Source organism: Homo sapiens, chromosome 12 (genome assembly GCF_000001405.40).
Source record: "Homo sapiens chromosome 12, GRCh38.p14 Primary Assembly".
Lineage (NCBI taxonomy): Eukaryota > Metazoa > Chordata > Mammalia > Primates > Hominidae > Homo > Homo sapiens.
Window position 1 is genome coordinate 89,340,185 of NC_000012.12, and position 26,957 is coordinate 89,367,141.

The 26,957-nt window shown below is 43.9% G+C and overlaps 2 protein-coding genes across 8 annotated transcripts in view, besides 5 other annotated features; both read right to left on the reverse strand.

Moving 5' to 3' along the window:
* Positions 5,989 to 6,168: an enhancer, noted in NCBI's record as "active region_6705". NCBI's record gives its function as "activates an Ori minimal core promoter by ATAC-STARR-seq in GM12878 lymphoblastoid cells {active_cell/tissue: GM12878}" and the evidence as "EXISTENCE:reporter gene assay evidence [ECO:0000049][PMID:35858748]".
* On the reverse strand, positions 7,051 to 12,317 carry DUSP6 (dual specificity phosphatase 6). Of its 2 annotated transcripts, NM_001946.4 has the most exons (3): positions 11,456 to 12,317; positions 10,404 to 10,841; positions 7,051 to 9,377 (listed from the first exon to the last, which is right to left on the reverse strand). In NM_001946.4, exons 1-3 carry the CDS (start codon positions 11,853 to 11,855, stop codon positions 9,070 to 9,072), a joined length of 1,146 nt encoding a protein of 381 aa, NP_001937.2. In that variant the 5' UTR covers positions 11,856 to 12,317; the 3' UTR covers positions 7,051 to 9,069. The 2 variants fall into 2 exon arrangements, with proteins under 2 accessions (NP_001937.2, NP_073143.2); NM_022652.4 differs by lacking the exon at positions 10,404 to 10,841.
* POC1B-DUSP6 (POC1B-DUSP6 readthrough) overlaps positions 7,881 to 26,957 on the reverse strand; it is a 177,983-nt gene continuing 158,906 nt past the window's right edge. For 3 of the 6 annotated variants that reach the window (NR_189588.1, NR_189589.1, NR_189587.1), the window contains 2 exons: positions 10,404 to 10,841; positions 7,881 to 9,377 (listed from right to left, as the gene is read on the reverse strand). Coding sequence is in view for 3 of the 6 variants with exons in the window: in NM_001425796.1 (NP_001412725.1) it covers positions 9,306 to 9,377 (72 nt within the window). In the remaining 3 variants the exon portion in view is untranslated. The remainder of the gene's footprint in view (positions 9,378 to 10,403; positions 10,842 to 26,957) is intronic. The other 3 variants (NM_001425796.1, NM_001425795.1, NM_001425794.1) reach the window with 1 other exon arrangement.
* Positions 9,539 to 10,173: an enhancer, noted in NCBI's record as "OCT4-NANOG hESC enhancer chr12:89743500-89744134 (GRCh37/hg19 assembly coordinates)". NCBI's record gives its function as "activates a minimal SCP1, AML or CMV promoter by ChIP-STARR-seq in naive and primed H9 embryonic stem cells {active_cell/tissue: H9 hESC(naive and primed)}" and the evidence as "EXISTENCE:reporter gene assay evidence [ECO:0000049][PMID:30033119]".
* Positions 10,809 to 11,443: an enhancer, noted in NCBI's record as "NANOG-H3K27ac-H3K4me1 hESC enhancer chr12:89744770-89745404 (GRCh37/hg19 assembly coordinates)". NCBI's record gives its function as "activates a minimal SCP1, AML or CMV promoter by ChIP-STARR-seq in naive H9 embryonic stem cells {active_cell/tissue: H9 hESC(naive)}" and the evidence as "EXISTENCE:reporter gene assay evidence [ECO:0000049][PMID:30033119]".
* Positions 13,263 to 13,572: a silencer, noted in NCBI's record as "silent region_4691". NCBI's record gives its function as "represses an Ori minimal core promoter by ATAC-STARR-seq in GM12878 lymphoblastoid cells {active_cell/tissue: GM12878}" and the evidence as "EXISTENCE:reporter gene assay evidence [ECO:0000049][PMID:35858748]".
* Positions 14,493 to 14,542: an enhancer, noted in NCBI's record as "active region_6706". NCBI's record gives its function as "activates an Ori minimal core promoter by ATAC-STARR-seq in GM12878 lymphoblastoid cells {active_cell/tissue: GM12878}" and the evidence as "EXISTENCE:reporter gene assay evidence [ECO:0000049][PMID:35858748]".

Genomic DNA, 26,957 nt, shown 5'->3' on the forward strand with positions numbered 1-26,957 from the left:
TAACAAACTAGAAAAAAAATCATAACTCTAAAAGTCTATAGTTGTGAGCCCATGATAGTTATGGTGCAGTTATACCTACACTATATGCTCAGCCTTTTGATGTCCATCTTTGGAAAGACATCTAGCAAGCTCCCTTTAATGCTGTTGTTCTTTGAATGCCCTAAGAGAGGAGATGCTAGATTAAATGTTGGTTTACTACACATGGCAGATCTGGTAATTCCCAAACAGGACAATCAAAAGAATCACCTGAGGGCCATTTATAAAAAACCAGATTCCCAGGCTTCATTTCCAAAAATTCTGAATCAGTAAGTCCGGGGCTTAGCAACTCTAAGAGAAAATCCTTTCCATAGATGAATCCAAGGTATAAGTTGATTGGCTGAAATGGAATCATGTCCCACCCCTGAAACAATCACTGAAACCAGAAAATGAGGCCTTTTTTGGCCTGGGCTGGGTTATATACCCTTCCCTATGATGGGAATGGAGTTTTCTCCAGAAAAGAAGAAGGTAGATGACTAACATTCAGTGCCCCCTACTTCCTGAGAAACAGAACCTCAGTTATATTGGTACAAAAGTAATAGCAGTTTTTGCAATGATTGTAATGGCAAAAAACACAATTACTTTTGCACCAAACTAATATTAGGGGAAGCTTGTGTCCAACTGAAAGTCTGTATCCCCAGCCTCTCTAGCTATGGCCATGTGGCTAATTCCAGCCATTAAGAACATGGAGTACAAGTCTGCTGTAGGATTTCCAGCAGGCATCTTTAAGAGAATTGACTCAAGGAAGTAAACCTTTTTTCTTTTTCTCTTTCCTTCTTTCGGTGACAGAATGTATGACTGGACAGGGAATCTCTATCTTGTGATCTTTAAGATCAAAGACAGAAGAAGCCTGAATCTCAAATGATCTCATAAAATTGTCCTACCAGGCTTGAATTTCCCACTCCTGGCTTTTATAGATGAGAATAAACCCTCATGAGTTTTGATAATTTTCAGTTTTCATTCTCTGTTGTAGACTTCTGAACCTAGTCCTCCCTGATACTGTAGAATTCCACAACTACAAGTAACTGGGAAGGGAGGATAGGCAGACAAAAAAAATACAGTTATTTCTGCACTTTGCAACTTCTCTTTAAATTTTATCTCTCATATCCCTAAGCATCTTGATTTTTTATCTCTGTTTTACATCTTGAAAAATATTGTTGCCATCTCTTGCGAGGAAGTTTGTCTTTTACTACTTCCAAAGCTGGGTGTAATTCATTACTCACAACTGTCACATCTTTTCCACATCTATGTGAAAAACTAGCCCCTCTTCAAAACTGAGTTCAAGATTTAGTATAACCAAAAACACTTCTAGGCCAGCCCCACTTCAATCGAGATAATCAAAAGTATCTATTCTTTCAACTTAATCTCTCTGACTCTGTTTCCACATTTGTTAAATGGATTCAATGAGTGGATTTCAAATATGTTTAGGCACAAGTCCCACATGAGTCTCCTAGAACTCCATGTAGGGTTATACAGGTTGGGCATGGCCATTTGTATCATTATCTTTCTGACTGATACCCTGTAGAGCTGTGCAGTGTACATCCTGCCTCCAAATGTAGCCTGGTCCTTCCCTGAGGAACAAAGTTTGAAAAGCATTGTACTGATATTTTTAATGCATATACTCAATAGAGGACTAGTATTTAGAGTGTCCAAGCACCTCTGATATCAATACAAAAAAATAGAAGTAACACAACTGAAACTTGACAACAGATTTGAACAGGCTCTTCACAAAATAAAATATCTTATGGCCAATGAACACAAGAAAAGGATCCAACCTCATTAGGAATCAGAATAATGGAAATTAGAATCAAAATAAACTACCATTTCACATCTACTAGATAGGTGAAAACTAAAAAGTGTAAACAAAACAAGTGTTTATAAAAAATTTGGGAGAGTATGAAAAGTTAAATATCATTAGTGGGAATATAAGTTGGAATATCCACTTCAAAAACGATTTTAATTGTCTGAAATTGAGGTTCTACACAAACTATGCTTATTCCACTCCTCTGCAAACCACCGGGAAACGTGTACACATGAGCATTAGAATACATGCACAAAAGTATTCTTAGCAGTATTGTTCAAAATAGTCAAAATTAGGGGGAAAAACCCAAATTCTACCAATGTAAGATTACCTACTATAATGTAATACATGAAACACTATATTTTGCATGAAAATAATGTATACCATAGCTACACTCAATAACTTGGGCGACTCAATCTCAAATATAATGTTTTCTCTGACAAAATAAAAAAATTAATATTCTTTTATAAAAACTGTTTTATTTTATGGGTCAATCTAAAAATTTTTTTGTTTCTTTGTTTGAGCTGGAGTCTCGCTCTGTCACCAGGCTGGAGTGCAGTGGCATGATCTCGGCTCACTGCAACCTCTGCCTCCCGGGTTCAAGCGATTCTCCTGCCTTAGCCTCCGGAGTAGCTGGGACTACAGGCGTGCGCCACCACGCCCAGCTAATTTTTGTATTTTTAGTAGAGACAGGGTTTCACCATGTGGGCCAGGATGGTCTCGATCTCTTGACCTCGTGATCCACCCGCCTCAGCCTCCCAAAATGCTGGAAATACAGGCGTAAGCCACCGCACCCGGCCTTTAAAGAGTGTTTTGACGGCATTACTCTACTGTTAACGTTAGAAACAGATGAAAAAAATAGGAATAAAGGAACAATTATAGCAGTTGTTGAATGTTTTCAAGATTGAACCAAGAAATTAGTATGGCTAAACACTTTCATATCTATCTCCGTGGGTACTCACTATTACTCTCACAGTCCCACATTGAAACAACATTCACGCAACCAAGATGTGGCACATTGTACTTTCCAAGAACAACTGCAACAATATTTTCCATCTCTTGTGCTTTTTCAGAATTTTTCCTCTCCTCCATTAAAAGATGGATTTTTACGTTCTTTCTCCTTAAACTTTGTATGCAGCAGAAGTGACCTCTGAGCAGGTCATAAAAATCAACATAGTTTCCACCAGCCTCTCTCTCTCTCTCTCTCTCTGGGGATTTCACCCATGGAACCCAGCCACCATACTATGTGGAAATTTAGGCCACATGGAGAACCAAAGTCCCCAGCCCCGGCCCCTGGCAGAGGTCCCAGTGGGCAGCCAAAGCCAAAACCAACTCACCAGCAAAGTGAGTGAACTATCTTAGAAATGAATCCTCTGGCCAGCAGTTGAGCTGCCCCTGACAAAACTGCGCTGATCAGAGGCCAGCCTCCCCTGCTGAGCCCTGACCAAATGCAGACTTAGGAACAAAATAAATGACTGTTATTTGAAGCCACTAAGTTTTGGGGCGCTTTGTAATGTAGCAATAAATAAATGGAACATAAGATAAAAGGGTATTCCTGCTACAATTTTTCAGAGAGCCAGGTACACCCGAAGATCCCCTGCTGCTCCTTCCGCTCTTTCTTTCCTCCTTCTGTTCGTGTTTGCAGTAGGAATTAAACTGGACCCAATGAAAAATACTTAACGTGATAAATACTTAGATTTTCCCCAAAAGTAGGAAACAGAATTCTTTAGAATTAGCAACCTTTTCCAGACTTGCTTCGTGCTTTCTCGGATGTCATTATCAAAAAGTGAATGATATTTCCTCACTTTTCCTTTGAGTGTCTGAGAGTTCATGTTTGACGGTATGGTGGTTTAACATGTTTTTATTACATCAGTGATGGCTAATAGATATGCACGCCTTCTCTAGTGGTGTTTTCCATGACAAAGTAAGAAAGTGAGTGGGTCAAATTGCATACATGTGGGCCATTAATCCTTTCCTATATAAAAAAATAAAATGTGGGATCTAAAATGTTAGTTGGAAGCAGATAGGGAAATACAAGACCTTGCCCGGTAGTTTCTTCAGGGCTCCTCTTTGATTTGGGCACTTTAGCGGTTCCATCTAGAAACGGGTCATTGCCTTCAGCCTCTGAGGGCTCCTGGGAGGTCTTTCGTTGCCTTTTATTTTTAACTTGTTTCATCGAACCAGTGCAATGCACACCAAGGCCTGGATAAATATTTGTGAGTTGTTTGAACTTTGTTCTGTGCCCTTCAATATTCTCAGGAAATCGATTTTGGACTTTAAAGAAGTTTGAAAATTCGTTCACCATAACTGGACTGATTCAGGGCCAATTGCTAAGTGAGCAGTGAGAACACGGGAGGAACAAGGGTATTTGAAAGTCTTGCAGGATCTTTCCGAAAACGATTATGGCTGTGTGAGGAACTGCATATAAATTTACACCCAAAGTAATCCTTCTGAAGCAGCTGAAAGTCTGAAGACTGACTTTTTTTAAGAGGACATTTCAAGGATATTTTCTTACAGCCAGCTACCACATGATCTGCCCTGGCTGTATCCTAAAAACCCCCATCTCCATTATTTGCTAATTTGCTGGTCAGTTTACCTCTCTTCTTCTGTAGACCTGCACCATATATATGTCTTCTGCCTCTCCTCCTTGCTTCTTCACACCCTTCCCCTTTCCCCTGACCCACCTCCCTCTCCCAGTTTGCCTCTAGGAGGGATAAGAGTGAGGAAGTGAACTTCTTTGGGGCCAGTTTAGTTGTGTCATCCTGAAAGGGGAGTATGGGCAAGGGTCAGGGTCAGGCCCTATGCTAGCTGGTAGCCATTTTAGAGATACTTAGGAAAAGTAGTTTTATAATTTAAGTGCCAATGGGACCAAGGAAGAGCAACTTCTCTGCGGAGAAGGAGGATGGAAGTTTACCCCCGGTGGACACCTCTCTGACAGCACACCAGCTGGGGCCTCCCATGTGGCTGTGGAATTCACATGGAATTTGGCTAGTCATTTAACCTCTGCTTCCTCCACTTCCTCAGCTGTATAATGGGGACAGCATTTCCTAGCCGACATCATGAGACTTTATAAAGGGGAGCAAATACTGATGACAAGCAGTTTCCAACAGGAAGAGCCAAAGGCTCAAGGTTCAGTTCTGCAGTAACAAGCACTGGATATGCAAACCTTCTCTAACATTATGTGTCAGGTGTCCCATAAAGGTGGCTTTAGGCTTTATTGGCCTTTCTCTGCCTCAGTTTCCTCTTTGCAAAATAAAGATAATAATAGGACCTATCTCACAGAGCTGTTTTGAAGATTAAATGAGATACAAAGTATAGTATCTGGTACTCATGATAAATGTTAGTTATTTGTTTCACCTGCTCCGCACCTCATTTTATCATGTAATAAGTGTCACCAATCCATGAACAGAAGCTGGAATTATGAGAGAATCCTAGAATGGGAGGTAAAAACTCCCTCATTTTTACAGACAAGAAAAAAGAAATGCGGTAAGATTGGGTGCCCTGCCCAGGGCTACCTGATTCATTAGCAAGAAAGCAGCAGCTACAGTTCAGGTCTCCTAATTGTCAAGGTTGGTGCAAGTCTCAGTTTTCATTCCTTTGAAGACTGTGTTGGTATTTTTATCCCCAGATAACCCTTTTTCATTCCTATTTTAACGCTAAGACCAGTTCATACTATTAACCACTGCAATCTCTGTCTCCTGCAGCTCCCAGGAAACCTGCTGATAACCTCCCCTTCCCAAAAGCCATACCCCACCCTACCCCCCTGCCCCTGCAAAAGGCCAGGAAAGGTAGCGCTTTCTCAGAGACCTGAGGAAGCTACTAATGGGGACAGCAGGTGAGGAAGGAGGCGGTGGAACTGCAGCTGCTGGCAAAGGTTGCCCTAGTAACCGTGCGGGCTCCATTCAGGAAGCCAGCCCAACTCCAAGATGCAAAATGATCGCCTTCACGCGGCTACTGCAAGCACAAAGGAACCAGAGGAGCCCTGATATAGCTGGAAGAAAGGGAGGCACAGAGAGAGGTGGGGGCCCATGCTGTCAGTTACAACCTTCCACCTTCCACAGAAGAAAAAGAAGGAAAGAGAATAGCTCTTTGAATCTTCTGGCCTATGTGAACCGTAAAAACCACCCATTTAACATGAGTCCTTTGGTGAGAATAGAGGGAAACAGGCACCCCTCTGTTCACCAGCCTTCTGAAACAATATGTCAGGAGAAGGGGGAGAAACCTCAAACATTGCAACTTTATGGAGGCTCTAAGCTCTTCATACTCTCTCTCTCCTTTATTCAGACTGGTGACAAAGACCATTTGCTCCCAATTTATTGGAAACTTTTTTTTTTTTCACAGCTTGAGCTGCTTAGATGCAGCGAGCTCCCTCTCCCCAAATTGCAGTCAGACACTTGCTGAATGGGCCAGGCTCAATTATGCTCCCTCCACAGGTTCAGCTCACACTGTGACCCTGCATGGCTTCCTGCTATTCATATGTGTTACTTCCCCTTTGTGGTAATGGCTTGTGGCACTTAGCCAGAAAACATTATTAATTTCAGAAGTGGACTGACAAACAACAAACCCACAGTAAAACGAGAGGAAGTGCTGGGGAGGCCAGCTGTCGGCTTGAGCCAAGCAGTAGGAACTCAATGTATGCAGGTTCTAGGAGGAAAGAGATAATAATCCACAAAGAGGAAATGCACTAAAATTATCCACAGCCCATATTTTTTTAAAAAACGAAAGAAAGAAAAAGAAAGAGAAAAGAAATCAGAGAAAAGAAAGGGGGGAAAAGCACCCAGCTACTTGAGCTGCAGCTGGACAGGAAATTGCTAACGCTGCTTGCAAATCCTTACTTTGAACAGGCAGTTTAGGGAATGCCAGGAGCGGAAACCGTTCAGAACTGGATTAACACGAGCCAAGTTGAACTGCAATCCACTTCTCCTTTCTGTGCTCTTGCTGACTTGGGACACCCAAATAGGACAGACTGACTTGGTATATATATATATTTGCACTATTTCTGTTTGCTTTTTATACTTAGTTGCTTAAAAATCACCATGGACAGTTTTATATGATTGCCATCGAATGAAGGCCACTTGCCTCCTAAGTTAGTGTAGACGACCAAGCAGTCAACTCATGTGCCATGTAGGTGAAAAGCTCATTCTTCTCCCCACTTCACATGAAGGGACTGAGCTCATGCAAAAAGAGCCCCAAATATAAGTACGTTCTAGTTCTTTTGATTCCATACACCTGCCTTTTATTTTGGTTTGTGTATTTTTACATTTGAGGTAAGGAGAGGGTAGGTCCCAAGAAAAATGGCAAGATATAAAGTCTTTAGCTTGAAAAGAAACTAAAATAATCCCCACAAGTTTCAATAAGGGTTTCTGACCCACATCCCAAGCCAGTTAAACAAAAAAGCACATTACAACAGGGATGACAAAGTTGCCTCCTAAGTGCCAATGTAAAATTCTAAAGCCATATCCTGACACGGTGAGGAAGCTTAGATATGCCTTGCCATGCGCATGCTAGGGGAAAAAGTGGAGACATCATTCTGGATTCAGCATTCTCACACTAGGATATCTGCAGGTAGAATTGCCCATGACAACAGACTGGAAAAAGAATTATCCCTACTTCCTCTTTGGCATTATCTCAGCATTATAAAGCAGAAGATCCTGACAGTGAAGGATAGGGAGGAGGTTAACATGTGGCTGTCATCTTGGTATTCTGCTACACCTCTCTGTGGTTAATATCCAAATTGTATTCCTCAGCAAGCTATGCTCTATAGGTTCATTTTTCTTCAGGGGCTTTAAAATCTTAAGCCGGAACTATACTCATAAGAGGTATTGTTCATATACACGGTACAGTCGGTCCATTCTAGGATGTCATCTTTATTCGTGGCAAACGATGAATTTCATAAACTGCTGCTGAAAAACGTTCTAGGAAAAGCTTAAAAGAACCTTGCCCTACTATGCCTACAAGTCAAAATCAATCCCTGAATGAAAAAGTTCTAAAATGTGTCACTTCACACATAGGTATAACTGAGTTTTTAAAAACACACATTCAATAGCCAAAATAGTTATTTATTAATAATTTAAGGTTTTACATTCTTATAATAAATTCCAGCTCTAAACTTTACACCACGAACATAATGGAGAATTTAACTCTCCCTTCTTCACAATCAAATGCATTTCTCTTATCAAATGGGTACCCATGCTCACACACACACACTTCCAGTTTTATACAAATTTTTTTAAAGGAAAGAAACCAACCCAAAGTATTGCATTTGAGGTGACACTCCCTGAAGAATTTTATACAGAGGTAATATACTGTTTAGCACAGCTGAAGGTTTTTTTATTCTTTCTTTTTTTAAAGTGAGCCCATGATTTGGTGTCTTTCCCAGATTATCCCCTTTGCGACAACACAAGCAAAAATATTTACAAAGGTAAGGCATAGTCAAACTACATAAAGAGAAAAAATCATGAGGAAAATACATGAAAAAGACTAAAGACTTCGCCATAACAAGGTCTTAGTGATAATAGTGTCCGTAAAGATGTCATCAGAATTGGTAAAGTCAAGCATGCTGCAAATATACCCTTTGGATTAGAAAAGAGCACAATTTTCTTTTTTTGTTTTGTTCTGTTTTAAGAAGTGGCATACTGCTCTTTCTCCCTTTGGATAATTTCTTTTAAGCCCATCAAAGGAAAAAACAAACACAATTCAAACAAACACTGTCAAGTGATTCAAGATCAAATATTTACAATAATCAAATGGAGTATCAGATTTTTTTTTCCAAACTGATACCACAAATACAGAGCTGAAATCTCTCTTTGGCTCCTCTATATGCAAAATTGAATTAGTCTTCATTGAAGACAATTATATAGTCAGTTCCAGATGCAAAAGGAAACAGCCTTACAAGGCCCTAAAGAACACATGCTCCTACCCTATCATTTGGTTCTACCCTATGCGCCTGGAAGTCCTCGAATCCCAGTCCCTGCATGGGTAGGCTGTACACATGGGTACAGAGCAAACCTACTGCCTGTATCTATACAGCATGTCCTGTTATTCCAAAGAGAATGGAGCAAATCTCTCTGTTAGTATTAACCAATTCCGCACTTGGTAACCTTGTCTAGTACAGACAGCTGGTGTCATTTTGACACCTGGGGCCACACACAAAGAAAGCAGCCCAGCTGATGCTGCCAAGAGAAACTGCTGAAGGGCCAGACACATTCCAGCAAGGAGGGGTGTGGGGTCTTTCACGTAGATTGCAGAGAGTCCACCTGGTATACATTCTGGTTGGAAGGGGTGGTAAAATACAGCTGCTGTGCTGGAACCCTGTTGTCACATGGGCTGCTGAGTCCCAGCGTCCTCTCGAAGTCCAGCAGCTGACCCATGAAGTTGAAGTTAGGGGATATGTTGGATTTTTTCATTTTGACAATGTCATAGGCATCGTTCATCGACAGATTGAGCTTCTGCATAAGGTAAGCCACAGTCACAGTGACTGAGCGGCTAATGCCAGCCAAGCAATGTACCAAGACACCACAGTTCTTGCCCCGGGCTTCATCTGTGAACACAAAAAGAAAAGCAAGATCTCAGCAGACTGAAAACCACCCTTTGTGAATGATCAGTCTAAAAACTGAACTTGAAAACATAATAATAATAATAGTTGTGTGTGGCAGTTGAGCCCTACAAGCAGCAGAAAATGTATCACTGAAATGAAACATGTACACTGGACACAATTACATATTTCAGATATTTTCTGAAAAGAGAGCTTTTGTATTAAGTTTCTGCCAACAAAAAACTCCTTAATGGGTGCATTCTTTGCCTCGGCATGTGAATACCAGAAACCCTGCAATATGTTCGTGAATGCCTTTTACACAGACAACCAGACTGCAAGGGTCTATTAAATTATGCTCCAAATGTTGTGCAGCTAACAATGGAGGTATTCAGGCATTTTAAAAGAGAGAGGGAAGTCACAGGGGACGGCCCATTAGGAGGAACAGGATGTCGACACGGCCTGAAAATGAGTTCCTTTGTAATAGGAAATGCATTACAATGCCTGGAGATTCACTTCTCCCAGGCTTCCAGCCCACAGTTCTTCCTGCTGGGCTCAGGTTACCCACTGTCTCACTGTTACCAGTATCACCGCATCATTCAACTGGATAACATTCAGCATTCATACTGCTTTCCAACAACTAACTTGATGTCCTAAAATAACTCCTAGATGTTTTTAAATTATAAAGCAATGCTGGAATTCCTGTCTATAGTGAGTACTTCTATCTGACCCTTCCCCTGAGTCCAAAGACTGGGGGGAAAAATCTGTTGTCCGATTATGAACGACTGTCAATGACTGAATTCAAAGATTCAAGAAACAGCGTTTCAAATACACCTGTGATCTGCAGCCATGTCAAAAGGCAGGTTTTCTTCCTTTAGCAAGAAGATAAACCAGAATTAAGGACGCTCTAGGAACATTAGAGACCTGCAGTCAGACAAATTAGCAAGCAGCAAGAACGATTAACAGCTTAAACTCTATGAATGGCTAGGAATTTTGCATTTAAATGTCAGAGCGACGACTATTAATTAGTCTCACCTATGAAAGAAATGGCCTCAGGGAAAAACTGGGACAGGTTTTGGCTCCAGTGATCCGAGATGGGGATTTGCTTGTATTTAAACTCTCCTGCGTTCTCAAAGAGATTCGGCAAATTGGGGGTGACGTTCAAGATGTACTTGATGCCGAATTCCTCCAACACGTCCAAGTTGGTGGAGTCTTTGGCACAGCCCAAGTAGAGGAAGGGCAAGATCTCCACTGGGAAGGAAGGCTGGCTGTTGGACAGCGGACTACCATCCGAGTCTGTTGCACTATTGGGGTCTCGGTCAAGGTCAGACTCGATGTCCGAGGAAGAGTCAGAGCTGATCCGCAGGCCCCCGAGCCCCAGCACTGGCAACGGCGGCGAGCTGCTGCTACACGAGCCGTCTAGATTGGTCTCGCAATGCAGGGAGAACTCGGCTTGGAACTTACTGAAGCCACCTGCCAGAACGAGAAAAGCAATCATCTAACCTGAGAAGCCGTAGTAGTTTTCACAGCTTGTAAGAACCGCAGCCCGGCGCAAGAAACACCACAAGCATCCTACGAACCCCCTACATACAGAACCATCTATAAGAGAAACACACTTTAAATGTGCACCATCGGGAATGGAACGAACGGGCCCGCCTCGCCAGGGAACCCTTATTCGCTTGAATCCGGAAATAGACAAAATGGCAACTTTTTGGAATATTTTGAGAGCTAAGATGTGCCAATTTGCATCCCCAACAATCTCTCCCGTCCTGCAAATCTTAATTCAAAATCGAACGATAGAAAACAGGGTGATGGTGGAGGATGTTCTGGCTAAGAAGGCGCAGAACCCGTTAGAAAGAAACCGCCGGTACCCGCAGCCGGAAGCGAGTGGATTCTGAGCCGGCCCGGTTCTCTGGTGCGGAACGCGCGGTTCGCGGCCCCTACCTCGCCGGCTGCCGGTCCCTAGGCGGGCAGCGCGGCTCCGAAGCTCCAGCTGAGCGGAGCAGAGGTATTTTCAATCCACGCGCCCCGCCCGCAGCCCTGCGCCCCTAGCCCTGCCCCGCGCGCGGAGTTCCCTGGGCGCGTACCTTCCAGGTAGAACGCCCGGCAGCCCTCGTCCTTGAGCTTCTTGAGCAGCAGCCCGAGCACCGACTCGCCGCCCGTATTCTCGTTCCAGTCGCTGCTGCTCTCGTCGTAGAGCACCACTGTGTCGGTGCCACAGCGCCGGGTGAAGCGGTCCCGGTCCTCGCCGCGCGTGAAGAGCGCGCGCACCGGCAGGTTACCCTTCTGCAGGCGCCGCAGCATGATGCCCGGGATGGCCACGTTGATGGCCGACTCGATGTGCGACGACTCGTATAGCTCCTGCGGCCGGCAGTCCATCAGCAGCAGCCGCTCGTTGCCCAGCTCCAGCTGCTCGTTGAGCCACGCCACCGTCTTGCTGATCGCCATTTCCGACGCGAAGGGCACGGGTCTGAGCGTATCTATCATGGGGGTCGAGCTGCGGGAGAGGGCGGGGTGCCTACCAGACGCCCCTCGGGGCAGGCATAGGCCGAGCGCACCGCGCGCGAAGCTGCCGCTCTCGGAGCGGGGTTTAATTCCGCCTCGCCTTACCCAAGCCGAGGCTAGCGGTTGGGGCAGACGAGACAGAAGTAAAGCCGGAGGTTCTCTCTGCACCCAGCTGCAGCCGCTGGCTCTTAGTGTCAATGAATCTCTCTCAATGAAGCTGCCCAGATAGTTTTTGTTCCTCCCCAGTGAATGAAATCCAATTAATTCGGACTCCGTGCTACTGAGAGGGGAGGAAAAAAAGTCTAGCGGCTTCTAATCCCTCCCTCCAAGGCTGCACCTCAAATCTACCCGGGCGTCTTTCTCCCCGGATTATTTAAGACTCGATTTGCTATCTCTTGGACTCAGCCTCGCACACCCCCTGCGCGAGGCAGCTCCTCAATGGATACAAACAGCGAGCGTCTCAATGGATACATTCTCCGGGCCAGCCAATGAGCGTGCTGCGGAAGGGGCTGTTGCCGTGGGGACGGGCCGGCTGGAACAGGTTGTGTTGATGAATTGTTAATGAGTTTGTCATTCACAAAAACGGAAAGGAATTTCCGCTCCGGATAAGCCCCAGTGCAAACAAGCTGCAACAGCGGGCTCGGCGGGAGGAAGGAGAAAGAAGGGGAGGCGGCAGCGGAGGAGGAGCAGGGCACATAAACCAGGGCACTTCAGTTGTCTCATGTTTCCTTCTGTTGAGAGTTCACACTTCGCGTCGGAACTTTTGCGCACCAATGGCGCAATTAGCATGCACAAAAGCCCTTGTTCGCGACGCTTGCGTTCGCGAGCTAGCTTTAGGAAAACTTGTGCTGACTTTTCGTTCTTTGTATTCCCTTCAAACTCATTTGGACCCAAGTTCGCCTTAACCCTCCCCTCCCCCAACCCCCCTTCTTTAGGCGGTGTGTGGCATTTGTTTGCCACTTTTAAAGGCCCAGCTCTGTTTGCTCTGATGTTCTTTTAGCCGAGGCTGTGTTGGGGCTGGTGAACTGACTGGGCTTTAGTGACCGATGAGGTGTTAAATGCTAATCCAACATATTTCGAAACAAACCAGGATTTTGTTGAAACATTTTAAAGCAAACAAACAAACGTCTGGTTGTGCAGAAAATCAGAAGAAAACCTTTTTTCTTAAAATAACATTTTATTTTCATTAAAACAATGTAGAGTGCAGAAACAAACTCTTAGGTCAGTCCAGTGCTTTTACTGTATTCCGCTCCGGCGGCGTGGGGAGTTACAAGCCATTGTTCGGGGGAATCTATATCTCTCCCCCCGCCCCACCACCACCATCGCCTGCTGGGAGGTCGCGCTGGTTAATGATTTCTGGGCAAGGAGCTCGGCTTCTGACGGGGGAGCCGGTCTGGCGGGGCTGCCTGAGCGAGGTGTGCTGGGACGCGCCGGGCCGGGCCAGCAGTCCCCGCCATGGGCGAGGCGTGAGGAAGTCCTCCCGCAAGACCTGCAGGCTGCGGGGGCTCGGCAGGGGGGCTCGACGATTGGTTACAGTTGGCAGGGAGGCATGTCAGAGGGGGCCTCCCCAGCCCTCTCCTGCCGCCGCCTCCTCCCTTTGTCCAGCGCCGGGCACTCCGGGGAGCACCAGCCGCGCCTGCGCGCTGCGCTCCCTGCCACCGCCCCGCCGTCCCCGTCTCCCCGCTTGGGCACGGGGCTGTGCGCGACGCAGTGGACGGGTGCGGGGCTCAGCGAGGGACTCCCGGGTCCATAGAGATCTGGGGAGGGTGGGGGGAGCAAGGACGAGTGCCTGCCGGGACCCCCCTGGCTCCTCGCTCCCAAGGAGTCGAGGGGAACGTCTCTACCGCGCTGCAAAGCCAGCAGGTAACTTTGGGGAGGTGCGGGCCAGGCCAGCGAGCAGCACTCGGCCCAGGCGCCGCGGGGCGGACGGATTGGAAGCCGGATGGAGGCGTGGCCGGGTGGGGGCCGCGGCGGCGGGGAGGCGCGTTCCCGGCGCGCAGAGCTCTATTGTTATATAAAAGTGCCGAAGCCTGCCCCTCCCGAGCGGAAAACCACCTGTGTGCGGCCGGCGCGGCGCGAGAGGGATGCAGCCGGAAGGCGCGGGCCCTAATCCGGCCTTCCCTCCCTAAACCCCGGCGGAAAAGAGGCCGCGCTTTGTCCCACCGCTGCCTGAGAGGCGGAAGCGGGGGCAGCCGTCCGGCGGGGTGCGGCTTTGGGGAGTGTCCCTTGCTGCGCTTTGCGCCTACCGTGAACACCGCGAGGGCGCCTAAGGTCGCGGGGTCTCCCTTCGCCCGACGCCCCGCACCCACGGGCATGCCTGCTAACACCCCCGCTGCAATTTGCATTTTTAGTCACCCGCCTCTTCCCTGGTTTGGGAAATGTAGGCTAAAAAAAGGCGGCTGCGAGGCCTAGGTTGCCAATTTTGGAGCTCTGCTTCAGGCAGGCCGCCCCTGGAGGAGCGTGTTCGACAAAGGTGGGGATTGCCGAGCTCCTCTCCGCACCATTTTTGGGCAGTCCTTGGAACAAAACTCGTATATTTCACTGGGTATCTTCTAGTTTCAGCCGGGGGAGGCCTGCGCTGGAGTTGACTCCCCCTGTCCTCCACGATCTGTCACAGAAGTTCCCACCCCGAGACGTTTCAGTCATTGGGACCTGGGGACAGGGAGGGAAGAGGCAGGATGCCCTTCAGCGGAACTGAGAAGAGCAAACCTGTTGGAGGTTCAGCACAGGACCTCCAACAGAAGAGAAAGGGAGGGAAGTTGGGTTTCTACTTTGCCTGTTTTAATACGCAGCTACTTGAGTATGACTATAGATTCGGGAGGATACATCGAAACTGTAGTTTTACCCATGCTTCTGAACTTTATCGCCAAGGGAATGCCAGTGTTTCCTGGCGCATTGATTAAAGTGGCGTTCTGACTGCTCAGTACTAGAAATGCTGCGAAAAGGGCTTCTGGAGTGGGACGGCCCTCGTTTGCATTATGTCCCCCGCTTCTTCCTAGGTAAGCGCCCTTAGTTAAATCATTTAGCCGTTCTAAGTTGCAGTCTTCCACGTCGGCATAACGAAGATAAAACTATCTGCTTCATAGGGTCCCTGTGACGACAAAATGGGTACGGTGAAACGTCCTAAAGTGGTGGTGGGGTGCTATTAGCCGTTGGAATTAATTTTTCATTCTGAATTGAGGACCTGTAAAAAGGCCTCGGCTTGGGGACACGGTTTGGGCATCCCACAGATGCCCCTTGAGGCTCGCTTGACAGCCCGCCTGGACTCGCTCATCTGCAGCAAAGCCCTCTGAGATACTACCCTAACCGATTTAATCCGTTCCAATTCAGCTGTCAAGTAAAGGGGGTGTTATCGTAGACCAGGATCAAAAATCCTTTAGCACAGTTATCAGAATGGACCCAGCTACATTTCTGATTTCTCCCTACTGGTCACCTTTGGAACACGCTGTTCTCCAGCCACAGCAAACTGATACAACAATGCATATTGGGCACTTAACTGCATGATGGGTACCGTCTTGTTTCTGTGTTTACTTGCATAATTTCGGACAGTCTTCAGAAAAAACATGTAAATTATCCCATTTACAAAGATTAAAGAATTTGCCCAAGGGCACACAGTAGCAACAGAGTGTCAAGACGTGAGGCCAAACCCTTTACAGACTCTTAAGGATGCCCACATGCACGGATTACATAGAGTGTTATGGACACTATATTCACCTCCACGTGGTATTCCCTGCCCACATGTGAAGAATTTCAAGGTCAGCATTTTGAATTTTGACCTCCAGGCTTTCTCCAGCCTCACGTTTTCTGTTGCATCCTCCATGTCAAAGATCAAAAGCGAGGCTGCTTTCCCTGCTCCTTTTACACACCAGTGGTTTTCTTTGCACGCAACCCTTCATCAGTCAAACATTCACTAAATGTTGCATATTTTATCTCTCTTAGAATATGCCCTAGATCCTAATCTTCACAAGTGTCATTGGTTATCTAGTGCGTCAGCACAGCACATAAGCCTAGGTTCAAACCTCTGTCACTCAGTAGTAGTCTGGGCCTCACTTCATTCATTCATTGATGCATTTATTCTAGATTCCAGGAAAGCAGTAGAGAATAAACAGACAACAATAACCTGCCTCACTGAAGTTTACATTCTAATGAGGACAGTCCAATTAACAAAACAAATAATTATATATTAGAAAGTGAAAGCGCTATAGAGAAAAAGCAAGAAAAGGAATTCGGAAGTGTGTAACATTGGGAATATATATTCCTCCCTCAAAGGACTGTGAGGATTAGACACAACTGAGATGACACACGAGAAGTGTAGGGCACAAAGTCGGTATTCAGAAGATGATTTTTAAAATATCACCACTTCATTCCTGCATAAGGAATGCTGTTGGTGGTGATATTGCCATTCCTGTGAGGCACTGAGGAAAAGCTCTCTTAGGAGATAAGGGCTGTAGTAGTTGGAAGAATTACAGGCTTCCTTAATTCCAGAGGCCTCAGTGCCCTTCAGAGGATATCATTCATATGAAGAGGTCTGTATTTAAAAATTGGAGATAGCAGATCATCTGTGATCCATTCTCATGAGTGCAGAGAAGCACTTTCATAGATTCTTGTTTCTTCCTCTGTGTGTGTGTGTGTGTGTGTGTGTGTATGTATGTGTGCACCGAGCACCTGTGCTTGTGCTTGAATTCCTCCTGGTGTTTCCCCCTGGAAAGTTCCTTAAAAATTGTTAGTTAAAAAAAAAAAATTTTTAAAGCAGTGTATTTTGGTTATAAAATTTTCTCTAGGCCATTTGAGAAACATTCCACTTTTGCAGGAATTTTCCTGAGTTTGAGGGCACTTGAGATTTATAAGATGCAAATGGGCTAGCATGACCTTTAATCTTCTTGGAATAATCTCTGTGAATACAATGACATTTATTAACACATCATGTGAAAACAGTTAAACAGATTTTCAGCAAATAAGGAGAGTTTTGGAAGTTCTGACTTAAAATGTAAATGCATTTAGGGGTCCCAGGTAGGCCCTCAAAGTGACAGTGGCTTTCAGTGCAGCTAAAACTTCAAAACTGAATTTAACTGTATTTGAAGGATACACCTGAAATAGTATGGCTTAATGTAAAATGTATATGGGTTGCACAAAACTGTCCCTAAGGTCTTCTGATGAGTGCTTTTAAAAGATACCAAGAAGTTGTACCACAACAGTAGCAACCGAGAAACACAAGAAGCCTAAGGAACTGACAGTAGGTAACATGACTTACAGGCAGTGATAGGCTGTGAGAAAGCCAAAGGGAATTTCAAATAGCCCCCAATTAAAATTCCATGAGGGCAGCCCCTGGGAATTGCAGATCCAGGTTTGCAATCAAACTGCTTCTCACGTGGAAGCTCCGTGCAGCTTGCCCCATGATGAGGAGCTGCAAGGGCTTATTGAGCACGGGTTAATGATTTCTCCAAACAATGCGGGGGAAGGGGAAAGGCAGGCTAGGTTAGACCTCAAGGCAGAGGTAGCTGGACAGCAACACCAGAATCACACCCACAAGCATATCTAGGGGGAGATTGGAGCTTCCCCATGAACGAGATGGCACATTCACGCATTGCCAGGATGATACCACCTGAAGAAAAACATGAACTATTGTGAAATTCAGACCTTAGCCAATTTGGCTAAGCTTTTAAAAATTACGGTCTTCGTCAGCTTTCTTGCATTTCTGTTTCCCGTCATCTGATGAAAGACAAATTAATTTACATTCAGGCTCCTGTAGAGACTTTATCTAGAATTTTTTTAAAAGCTAGACGGTCTCTAGCAAAGAAATTCATTAAAAGATAGCAATGTTAATTTTTTATTTCAGATGTTTTAATTCCATGCCTTCCACTGGGAAAATATTCATTGATTCTTCTTCCTTATCCTTTATTTTTACAAAGCAGGAAATGTAAAAAGCATATATAAATGTATATATAAGAAACTCATGACGTTGGCATTTCTGCAGTACATTTCTGAGTAAGCGCATTTACCTTCTTTTGGAAAGGAGTTGACGGTACCTTGTTTCCCGTTGTACTATTTTGAAAGCCCCAGCGATGATCCTTAGTGGGAAAGTATAGCTTACATTGCCAGCCAGGTAAGTGAGAGACTATATGTATTCAGCTCTCCAAAACCTTCTCATGTCGTGTCATGAAGCACCACATGTGTGGTGTCGGGCATTATCCATGTTGCATCTTCATGTGGAATATTTGCCGTGAGCCTCCCTGTGTGGGCTGTTTCCTCTGGTGACTTTTCTCTCCATCTTGTGTTGCTTTATTTACGCAGGTGTGAGTAGTACATATAGCTGTTGTGTAAGAGAACTCATTATTTTCCTAAGTGGGTACTATTTCCTGCCACCCTATTTTTGCTTCAGAAATCAGTGGAAGTAACTGTGTGTGTCCACAATACAGGAATGCTTTAGCTCAGTTTTTCAAACTTTAAGAACTTGCAGATCCCCCAAGAATATATTAATAGAACCCTAGGGAGCCCCAAACTCCAGTCTAAACAACACTGCTTAAGGCTGTTGGTGGGTTCATTATAAAAGTTATATCTGGACATATCATGAAATAACAACATAGTGGCTACAACTTATTCTACACCAACCATTGTACGGGTTAAATCTAACCATTGTGATAACCTTGCAAAACAGGTATACCATTATCACAACTTTAAGGTGGGGAAGCCTGAGCTCTAATGTCAGGTAATTTATGCTGGAATCCAAACTTGCATCTCAGTCCCTTCAAAGCTCCTTAGTACATACACACTGCTGCCAACCTGATGAGTGGCCCTGAATGAATTCAACCTGGTATACCATGATAGCTTCTACATAATTTGTTACACTTTATCTTGCTAGTCAAGACTAGGACTTGTGGAATCAGCCCAACCTGGATTCTAATCCTGGCTTACCTACTTTCTGGCCCTATGACTCAGGGAAACCATTTCATCTCCCCATGTCTCAGTTTCCTTATCTGTAAAATGGGAATACTCTATCACAGAGCTATTGCAATCAATGATTTATATTTGTAAAGTGGGTAGAAACAGTCCTAGAACAATAACTCATTGATTGCTACCTGTTTTTATTGTTACACACACACACACACATATACACACAATTCTTTTTTTTTTCTTTGAGACAGTCTCACTCTGTCACCAGGGTGGAGTGCAGTGGCACGATCTCGGCTCACTACAACTTCCGCCTACCAGGTTGAAGCAATTCTTGTGCCTCAACCTCTCAAGTAGCTGCAATTACAGACGTGCACTACTATGCCCAGCTAATTTTTGTATTTTTAGTAGAGACAGGGTTTTGCCACATTGCCCAGGATGGTCTTGAACTCCTGGCCTCAAGTGATCCACCAGCCTTCCAAAGTGCTGGGATTACAGATGTAAGCTACCGCACCCAACCACAACTCTTAATAAATGTTTATTGACTTTGCTGAAAAGGGATCATATAACAAAAAAACACTATAGTGTTAATTTAGTTCTCAGGAAGAGAAAAACAATCCATACACATTTTTTGAAAAAAGTTTCAAAGAACAGAATCAACTGCTTTACGGCCCCTCTTAGTTGCTGATATAAGCAACCCAGAAATTGAGGTTTCTTAATGGGCTGAGATACCTGGATAGTTTGGGGACAGTGAAAACACACTGCGTACCAGGGGTTCCCCATCACTCTAGGACTCACCTGCTGAAGTAGCAGGCACTTTCCCTGCTCCATCAATGCTGGCTCATAGCTGATCCTATGGACTGCATATTGTGCAAGAGGAGAATTGGAAATCTACTAGCCTGAGCCACATAGCTGTCGTCTCTCAGTAATCTGGGTTCAAGGCAGCTAATGGAAACACACATTTATATTATGAGTCCTGCATATAAGAAGTCCCATTCTCTGGGAATCTCCTTTCTCCTTCCGACTTCATGCCCAGCAGGAGCTTTTCAGAATACAAGGAGGGGGAAGAGGGGAGGGTCAGAGCTGAGCATGAGAGCCACTCTTCTGTGACTGGAAGGAAACTTCCATTCATGGACAGATGAGAAAGCCTGTGCTAGAAGCCACCTTGTAGAAACATACCCAGGTTTGAGTAAACAGACACCTGCTTAGCACAGTTTCCATACTAATTTTTGCACATATATGATTCCAAGATTATTTTTATTAAACATCCGATAAGTATATATCCTTTGGTATAAATCCATCAGGTTTTGCTGGACCTACCAGAAGTTTTAGATTCCTTACCCAAACCTCCAAAGTGTAAACCTGGCCGGGCATGGTGGCTCACGCCTGTAATCCCAGCATTTTTGGGAGGCCAAGGCAGGCAGATCACGAGGTCAGGAGATGGAGACCATCCTGGCTAACAAGGTGAAACCCCATCTCTACTAAAAAATACAAAAAAAAAAAAAAAAAAAAAAAATTGGCCGGGTGTTGTGATGGGCACCTGTAGTCTCAGCTACTCGGGAGGCTGAGGCAGGAGAATGGCATGAACCCGGGAGGTGGAGCTTGCAGTGAGCCAAGATCGTGCCACTGCACTCCAGCCTGGGCGACAGAGCAAGACTCCCTCTCAAAAAAAAAAAAAAAAAAAAAGTGTAAACCCTTGCTAGGTCATGCCCCTCCCTAACCAATTTCCCAGGGAAAAAGCCTTTATGATGGGATTTCTCTGTCCTTTTGTTATATTTTCTGTATGGTAATTTGCTTTTGTTTTTGGCTTAACACAAATTTATTATTTTTCAGTTCTGTACGTCATAAGTCCCAAAGGGGTCTCCCTGGACTAAACTCAAGGTGTCAGCAGGGCTGCTTTTCATTTTGGAGGCTCTAGGGGAAAACCTGTTTCCCTGATTATTCAGGTTGTTGGCTGAATTTAGTCCTTATGGGTGTAGGACTCTGGTCCCTGTTTGCTTGCTATGTTCCCAACTTCTAGAGGCCACCTGCATTCCTTTGCATGTGCCTCCTTTCCTGTGTCTTCAAGGCCAACAACAGCAGATCACATGGTTTTCATGCCTCAAATCTCTGCTGCCTCTTCTACCACTTCTCTCCTCTTCTACGTTTAAGGACTCATGAGGTTACATTGGGCCCACCTAGGTAATCCAGGATAGTCTCCCCATCTCAAGGTCTTTAAAGTCTCCTTTGCCATGTAAGGTAACATATTCACAGGTTCCAGGCATTAGGGCATAGATATCTGGGAGATCATGCTGCCTGCATGTGGTTGTCTTGAAGAGACAGGTAATTTGTTGGAAAGGGGAATGGGGGAACTTTTTGGAGTGAGGGAAATGTTCTATATCTTGATTAGGGTGGTGGTGGGTATTCAAATGTTAAATCTTTTAAATTTTAGTTTAACATCTATATTATTGCATTTTCCAACTGTTATATTTTGCTTGTAATTATTTATTTAGAAGCAACTTTGTGTGAGGCATTGTATTAAGCACTTTATGTAATCATCTCATGCATTGTTTTCTCCTAGTACTCTGGTGTTATCACATAATAAGTTTACTTTAACCGATTAAGTTTGATGATGCAGTGTAGTGACTAGAGTCTTTCAGGTACATATTGTTCCACTTTATGGCTATTTTCCATTTCAATTTAAAGGCCAAGGGGGTTTTCTCATTTACGAGTTTATTATAAAAGCTATTACAAAGGATACAGATGAAGAGATGTGTAGGGCAAGGCATGTGGGAAGGGGCTTCAGTTTCCATGCCCTTTCCAGGTGCACCATACTCCAGGAACCTCCATGAACTCAGCTATCCCAATGCTCTAGTAATTTAAGTAATTCAGTGTAACCAGCTGTAGTACTCTATGCTTTAGGCAGGAATAATTAGCTGGCATTTTTTTAATGTGAATCCACTTGATGACCTTTAAAATTTAGTATAAAGGATATTAAAAACAAATTCTTTCTTTTTTTTTTTTGGCAGGGGGACAGAGTCTCACTCTTGTCACCCAGGCTGGAGTGCAATGGCGCAATCTCGGCTCACCGCAACCTCCGCCTCCTGGGTTCGAGTCATTATCCTGCCTCAGCCTCCTGAGTAGCTGGGATTACAGGCACCTGCCACCACGCCCGGCTAATTTTGTATTTTTAGTAGAGATGGGGTTTCTCCATGTTGGTCAGGCTGTTCTAGAACTCCCGACCTCAGGTGATCCGCCTACCTTGGCCTCCCAAAGTGCTGGGATTACAGGCGTGAGCCACTGCACCTGGCCTAAAAACAAATTATTTATGTTCTTGAAATTGGTGCACTTACAATATGTGGTAGAGGAGGTGTGGCAGGACACATGGACCTTGCATGACCAAGGTACAAGACAGCAGACAGCTCAACTGTCTGTGTCATGGTGCGGCTTCCAGCACTGAGCCTAGGATCCTGCCCCCATGAGATGACACGACCTGCAGGTTCACCTTTAGAACATTGCTGACTTCAGTGTGGCCCTTTCATGCAATGTGCTGTTAATTAGAGTACTTATGGCAGAGAGAAGGACTTTTTCCCAGTGTGTATAACTGTACCTACTGCTAAAGCATGATTTTTAATCTAGTTAAATTTGCTGTGAAATTTACATTTATAGTGAGAGTGAGATGAAGTGTGGTGTGGAATGTAACCTAAATCTGGAGCCTCTAACTACTAACCCCTGATTTTGATCAAAAGAATCTGACAAGTACTCTATAGACAAACTGGCTTAAAAGGAAAGCTTTTTAAAAAAATATAGGTGCCCAAGTCCCATAACCAGTAATTCTGATTTAATTGATGTAAGGTGGATCTTGGCATTGATATTTTCCAAAAGCTGCCCAGAGAATTCTGATATGTGGCCTGGACTAACAACTGGTTTAGAAGCATTCACAACAATCATCCCCTAACAGTCCCTTGCCTAGGCAGAGGTTTCCAGTGAGCCCAAGAGCTTCCCACCCAGACCAGTAGGTCTAGAAATGAAATGTTTAGAAACACCTGGAGGTACTTGCTCTCAGTCCATATCCTGGCCTACCCGACAGGGACTCTGATTCGGAAGATCTAGGGATGGGCTCAGGCAACTATATTGTAGTCCAGCAGCCAGCAGTGGCTTATACAGGTGGACCAAACTTTGAGAAGCTTCCAGTGACATCCCAGATAGTCAGATTCCTCACTCATCCACTCTGTTCAGCAATTGTAGAAATGTTCTTGAAGTAACTGGAAAGATGAGTCAAATAGTATTCTTTAGACACAAGCATCAGAACTTCGTAACAGGAAAATGCTGTGTCAGGCATAACTAATCTGCTTGCCCTTGTAAATGCAACTCTTGAACTGGTATGCACTCTGATGAGTTATTTACTGGTGAAACCTGTCACAAAGCGTTGGGAGATTACAAAGAACAGAAGAAGGTATCTTGGTGGCAGCATCGTGTGTTTATTGAACACCCGTTGTGTGTCTAAAACTGAAATGACTGCTGGGGCTTATGAAAATGAGTGAGATTCAGGCCCTGCTGTCACAAAAAAATATAAGTCTAACTGGGGAGGTTAGACATGTGCCCAGGTAGCTAGAATGTAATGTAATAAATGTGGTCATTGCAGTAGAAAGGAAGTGCTATGGGAACAAGAGGAGGAAATGGTTCATCTACCTTAGGGTGGGAGGTGGAAGGTAGAGGTGGGGTGCTGGGAAGTGTCCCAGGGGAGGCAGCATCTGAGTTAGATTCCCCAGGGAGCAGATTTCTCACTGTCCCCATCCAGTGGGATAGGAGAAGAACCACACACACTCTGGGCAAGACAGAAAGATGACATGAGCTAAGGTTTGGAGGGATGGACATGTGTGACCAGTGCAGTGCAGGTGAATGGTATGGAAGGCAAAGATTGGCAGAGAATACAGGAAAGGTAGTGTAGTGCCAGATGGAAATGGGCTTTGGATGTCATGGTAAGAAGTTTTGAATTTTTCTTTAGGTGAAGTCATCATAGATATTTATACAGGGGTGTGACATGATTTCAGGATATAATTCTGTAACAAAGGGGGCGAGTAGACTGGAAGGGAGAGAGAAACTGGGGGCAGGAAAACCAATTAGGAAGCGATTGCAATTGTCCAGAAAAAGGATGCAGTACCACCACGATCATCCTCTTCCTAAAATAATGTATTCATCAACCTGCTTAGTTTTATTCCTCCTATTTCTGCAGCTAGAAAAATCACTTAGCCCTCTTGTGACTCAGAATTTCTCCCTATTAATAGAAGATGACAGAATACTTATCTCACCTCACACAGGGAGATACTGAGAGATGCTTGCAATTGTAGCCACGAAAGAGGGGGAAATGTTATTCCAAATGCCAGTGGCAGTAATTACTCTGGAGTAGTGAGGGGAGGGACACTGCCTTTCCTCACTAACAGTCCATTATAAAAATTTCAAACCTATAGAAAAGTTGAAAGTTGAGTAAGAGCATCAGAAATACTCTTTGGAGGGAAGCTTCTGCAGAAATTCCAAGTACTCACCACCCAGGAAGTGGCATTTCCAATCTAAGGGCCCATTGCCTTCAGGATGAGAATGCCATTGCAGCCTATTTGGTTACAAACAGTGTTCTATAATATGAGATTTTGTAAAGAAAGGCCCATTTTCCCATTGTTTTCCATTACAAACAAAAGTGTAAGGAATGATATTCTTATTATTCCTATTGCTGAAATGGGGCTGGGGAGGGCCATATTTGAAGGAGTTATACCATCATCTACATGCTTTCAAGCTGTGTTTTGCCCTTTGGGGTTTGGAGTCTGCCCTTGTAGCAAGAGGCACGTAGTCATACCTTTTCCATCTGCTGCTGGGCCCCTTCCCATACTAGGTCTCCATTTCAGCACCCTGGACCACATCAGAATTCTTTCTTGTTTTTGGAAAAGCATCATTGATATCTACCGCAGGGTGTGTGACAGACATAAACTGCTTTAAGTTTTGCCAAAATGACTGTGTCTTCTACCTTTGAAAAAAAATCTGTGCTCTCTATATTTGCTGAGTTGGTATAAGATATTCCAAGGGATAAAAAGATAAATAATGAAGAGACACTGCCCTCAAGAAGCTAACAGATAGGACTGTGACCTAATGAAGAAGTTAGGAGGGTAGCATTCAGTGCTTTTTTAGAACAGTATCAACTTTCAAGATTCAAAAGGATGGTCGTGTTCAATGACTGATGGAGTCCTTCCAACTGGAATGGGGTGATTTGAACTTACAATGAGGAAACCCAAAGTACTTCATTTTATATATGAAAATCAAATGGTTATTGAGTGATATAATAAGGAGACCTATCAGGAATACGTAAGGAGAAGATAATTTATGCTCCTTTCTAAAGTACATTTACGTAAGTAATGAATGATTAGCTCTTTCAAATGGAAATGTTTTCTCTAGTACAGTAAATTATTCTGATTCATTTGTTCACTCTTAACATGCATTTCTTGGAAAACTTACTGGCAAAATTTGTCACAAAGCAATTAGGAGACTACAAAGTACAGAAGAATAGCCTTTAAATCCTTACACAAATTAGTTCTTATTTTAAGGACAGTTTAAATCTCACAACATCACAGCCTGCTTTTGCATGCACTCTTTCATTTACTTGTTAGATTCCTTTACTGCAAAGAGCTCAAGGAAAACAACTAGAAACAAACCATGGCTATGCTGACAAGAAAGTGTCAGTTATAAAGGGAAATGAATGAAGATTTATTCATTTATTAATAAAGTAATGTGGGCAGCCATTTGATAATTCTAATTTCTGATTTAGTCTTTAAAGTTGACTTATTTGCATACATTTTTAAAAGTCTGTGCTGTTGCCAAGTGACTTGGAACTACACAGCATAGTTTACTTACAAATTAGATGAAAGCCTCTTTTAAAATGTCTGCACATATTGTACTTTTTTTCTCTTAAAAATAAGCCATTGTTGATTTATTTTTGGACAGGTGATATTTGTGAATGGAACAAAATATAAAAGGAAGGATATGGCATACAGTAAGTCAGTCTCTCCTGGCCACCCAGTTCCTCTCCCTGGCACCAACCACTTTTGACTAGCATTTTGTGTATCTTCTCAGGGGGAGTCTATGCATGTACAAGGATATGCATTTATTATTGGTGTTATTGGTATGCAATTGTAGCAGACTCGTTTTTAATGACTACATAGTATTCTATTGCATGGACATAGCATAATTTATTTAGTCAGCCATCCTATCGATAGATATTGAGGTTGTTCGTAATCTTTTTGCTATTGCAAGCAATGACTGCAATGATTATGTTTTATACACTCATCCACCTTGTGGTGAATATATCTGTAGGGTAAATTCTTAAATATGGAATTGTTTGGTCAGAGTATATGAGTTTATAATTTTGATAATTATTGCCCAAATGCCCCCTTCAGAGATCGCACTAATTTGCATTCCCACCAGTAATGTATTTCCCCATACTTTAGCTGACACAATGTGTTCTCAAACCTTTGCCACTCTGAGAGATGAATATTGGTATCTCATGGTAACTTTAATTTGCCTTTCTCTTAAGAGTCAATTTGAGCGTGTTTTTGTATGTTTAAAGGCTGTTTGAATTTTTTTCTGTGAACTGTCTATTCATATCCTTTACTCATTTTTTGAGTAGATTGTTGATCCTATTTTATTTTTATACCTTATTTTGCAACCATAATGTTAAGTTCATTTTAGCCTCTGAACTCAAATACCATTTGTCAATCATTAGTCCAAATAAAAAAAAAGTGGAGCCACTTAATAATCCTAACGCACAGTTTGAAACATAATTCATTGATGCCTGACTTTTCCTTCTCAACTAGTTTTAATCTCAAATTTTAATGGGAACTGTCCTCACTCCTTAGGCCCAGTCAGGGTCAAAGAGTCCTGGGTTTTATTTGTTTTATTTGAACCCCAGGAGAGTTGCTTGTCTGAAGCTCTGTTTTAGCAATAGATTATTTATACAAACTCTCTGATAAATTTTAACTCATTAAATAGCAGCGTTAATATACTCATCTAGCACCACATTCCCTGCCTTCTGCATGAGCAGAGGAGAGAGAGTGATACTATTAAATATTCAAAAGCCTTTATCCTTATCCCAACCCCTCCATAGGAAGATGCTATCTTGCCTGGGCTAGGTGTAGTGGCTCACACCTGTAATCCCAGTGCTTTGGGAGGCCA

Coding starts and splice junctions, on each gene's coding strand:
- DUSP6 (NM_001946.4), bottom strand. CDS start 11,855: ATGATAGATACGCTCAGACCCGTGCCCTTCGCGTCGGAAATGGCGATC. Junction 10,842..11,455: donor CCGGGCGTTCTACCTGGAAG/GTACGCGCCCAG, acceptor TCGTTCTGGCAG/GTGGCTTCAGTAAGTTCCAA. Junction 9,378..10,403: donor TGAGGCCATTTCTTTCATAG/GTGAGACTAATT, acceptor TTGTGTTCACAG/ATGAAGCCCGGGGCAAGAAC.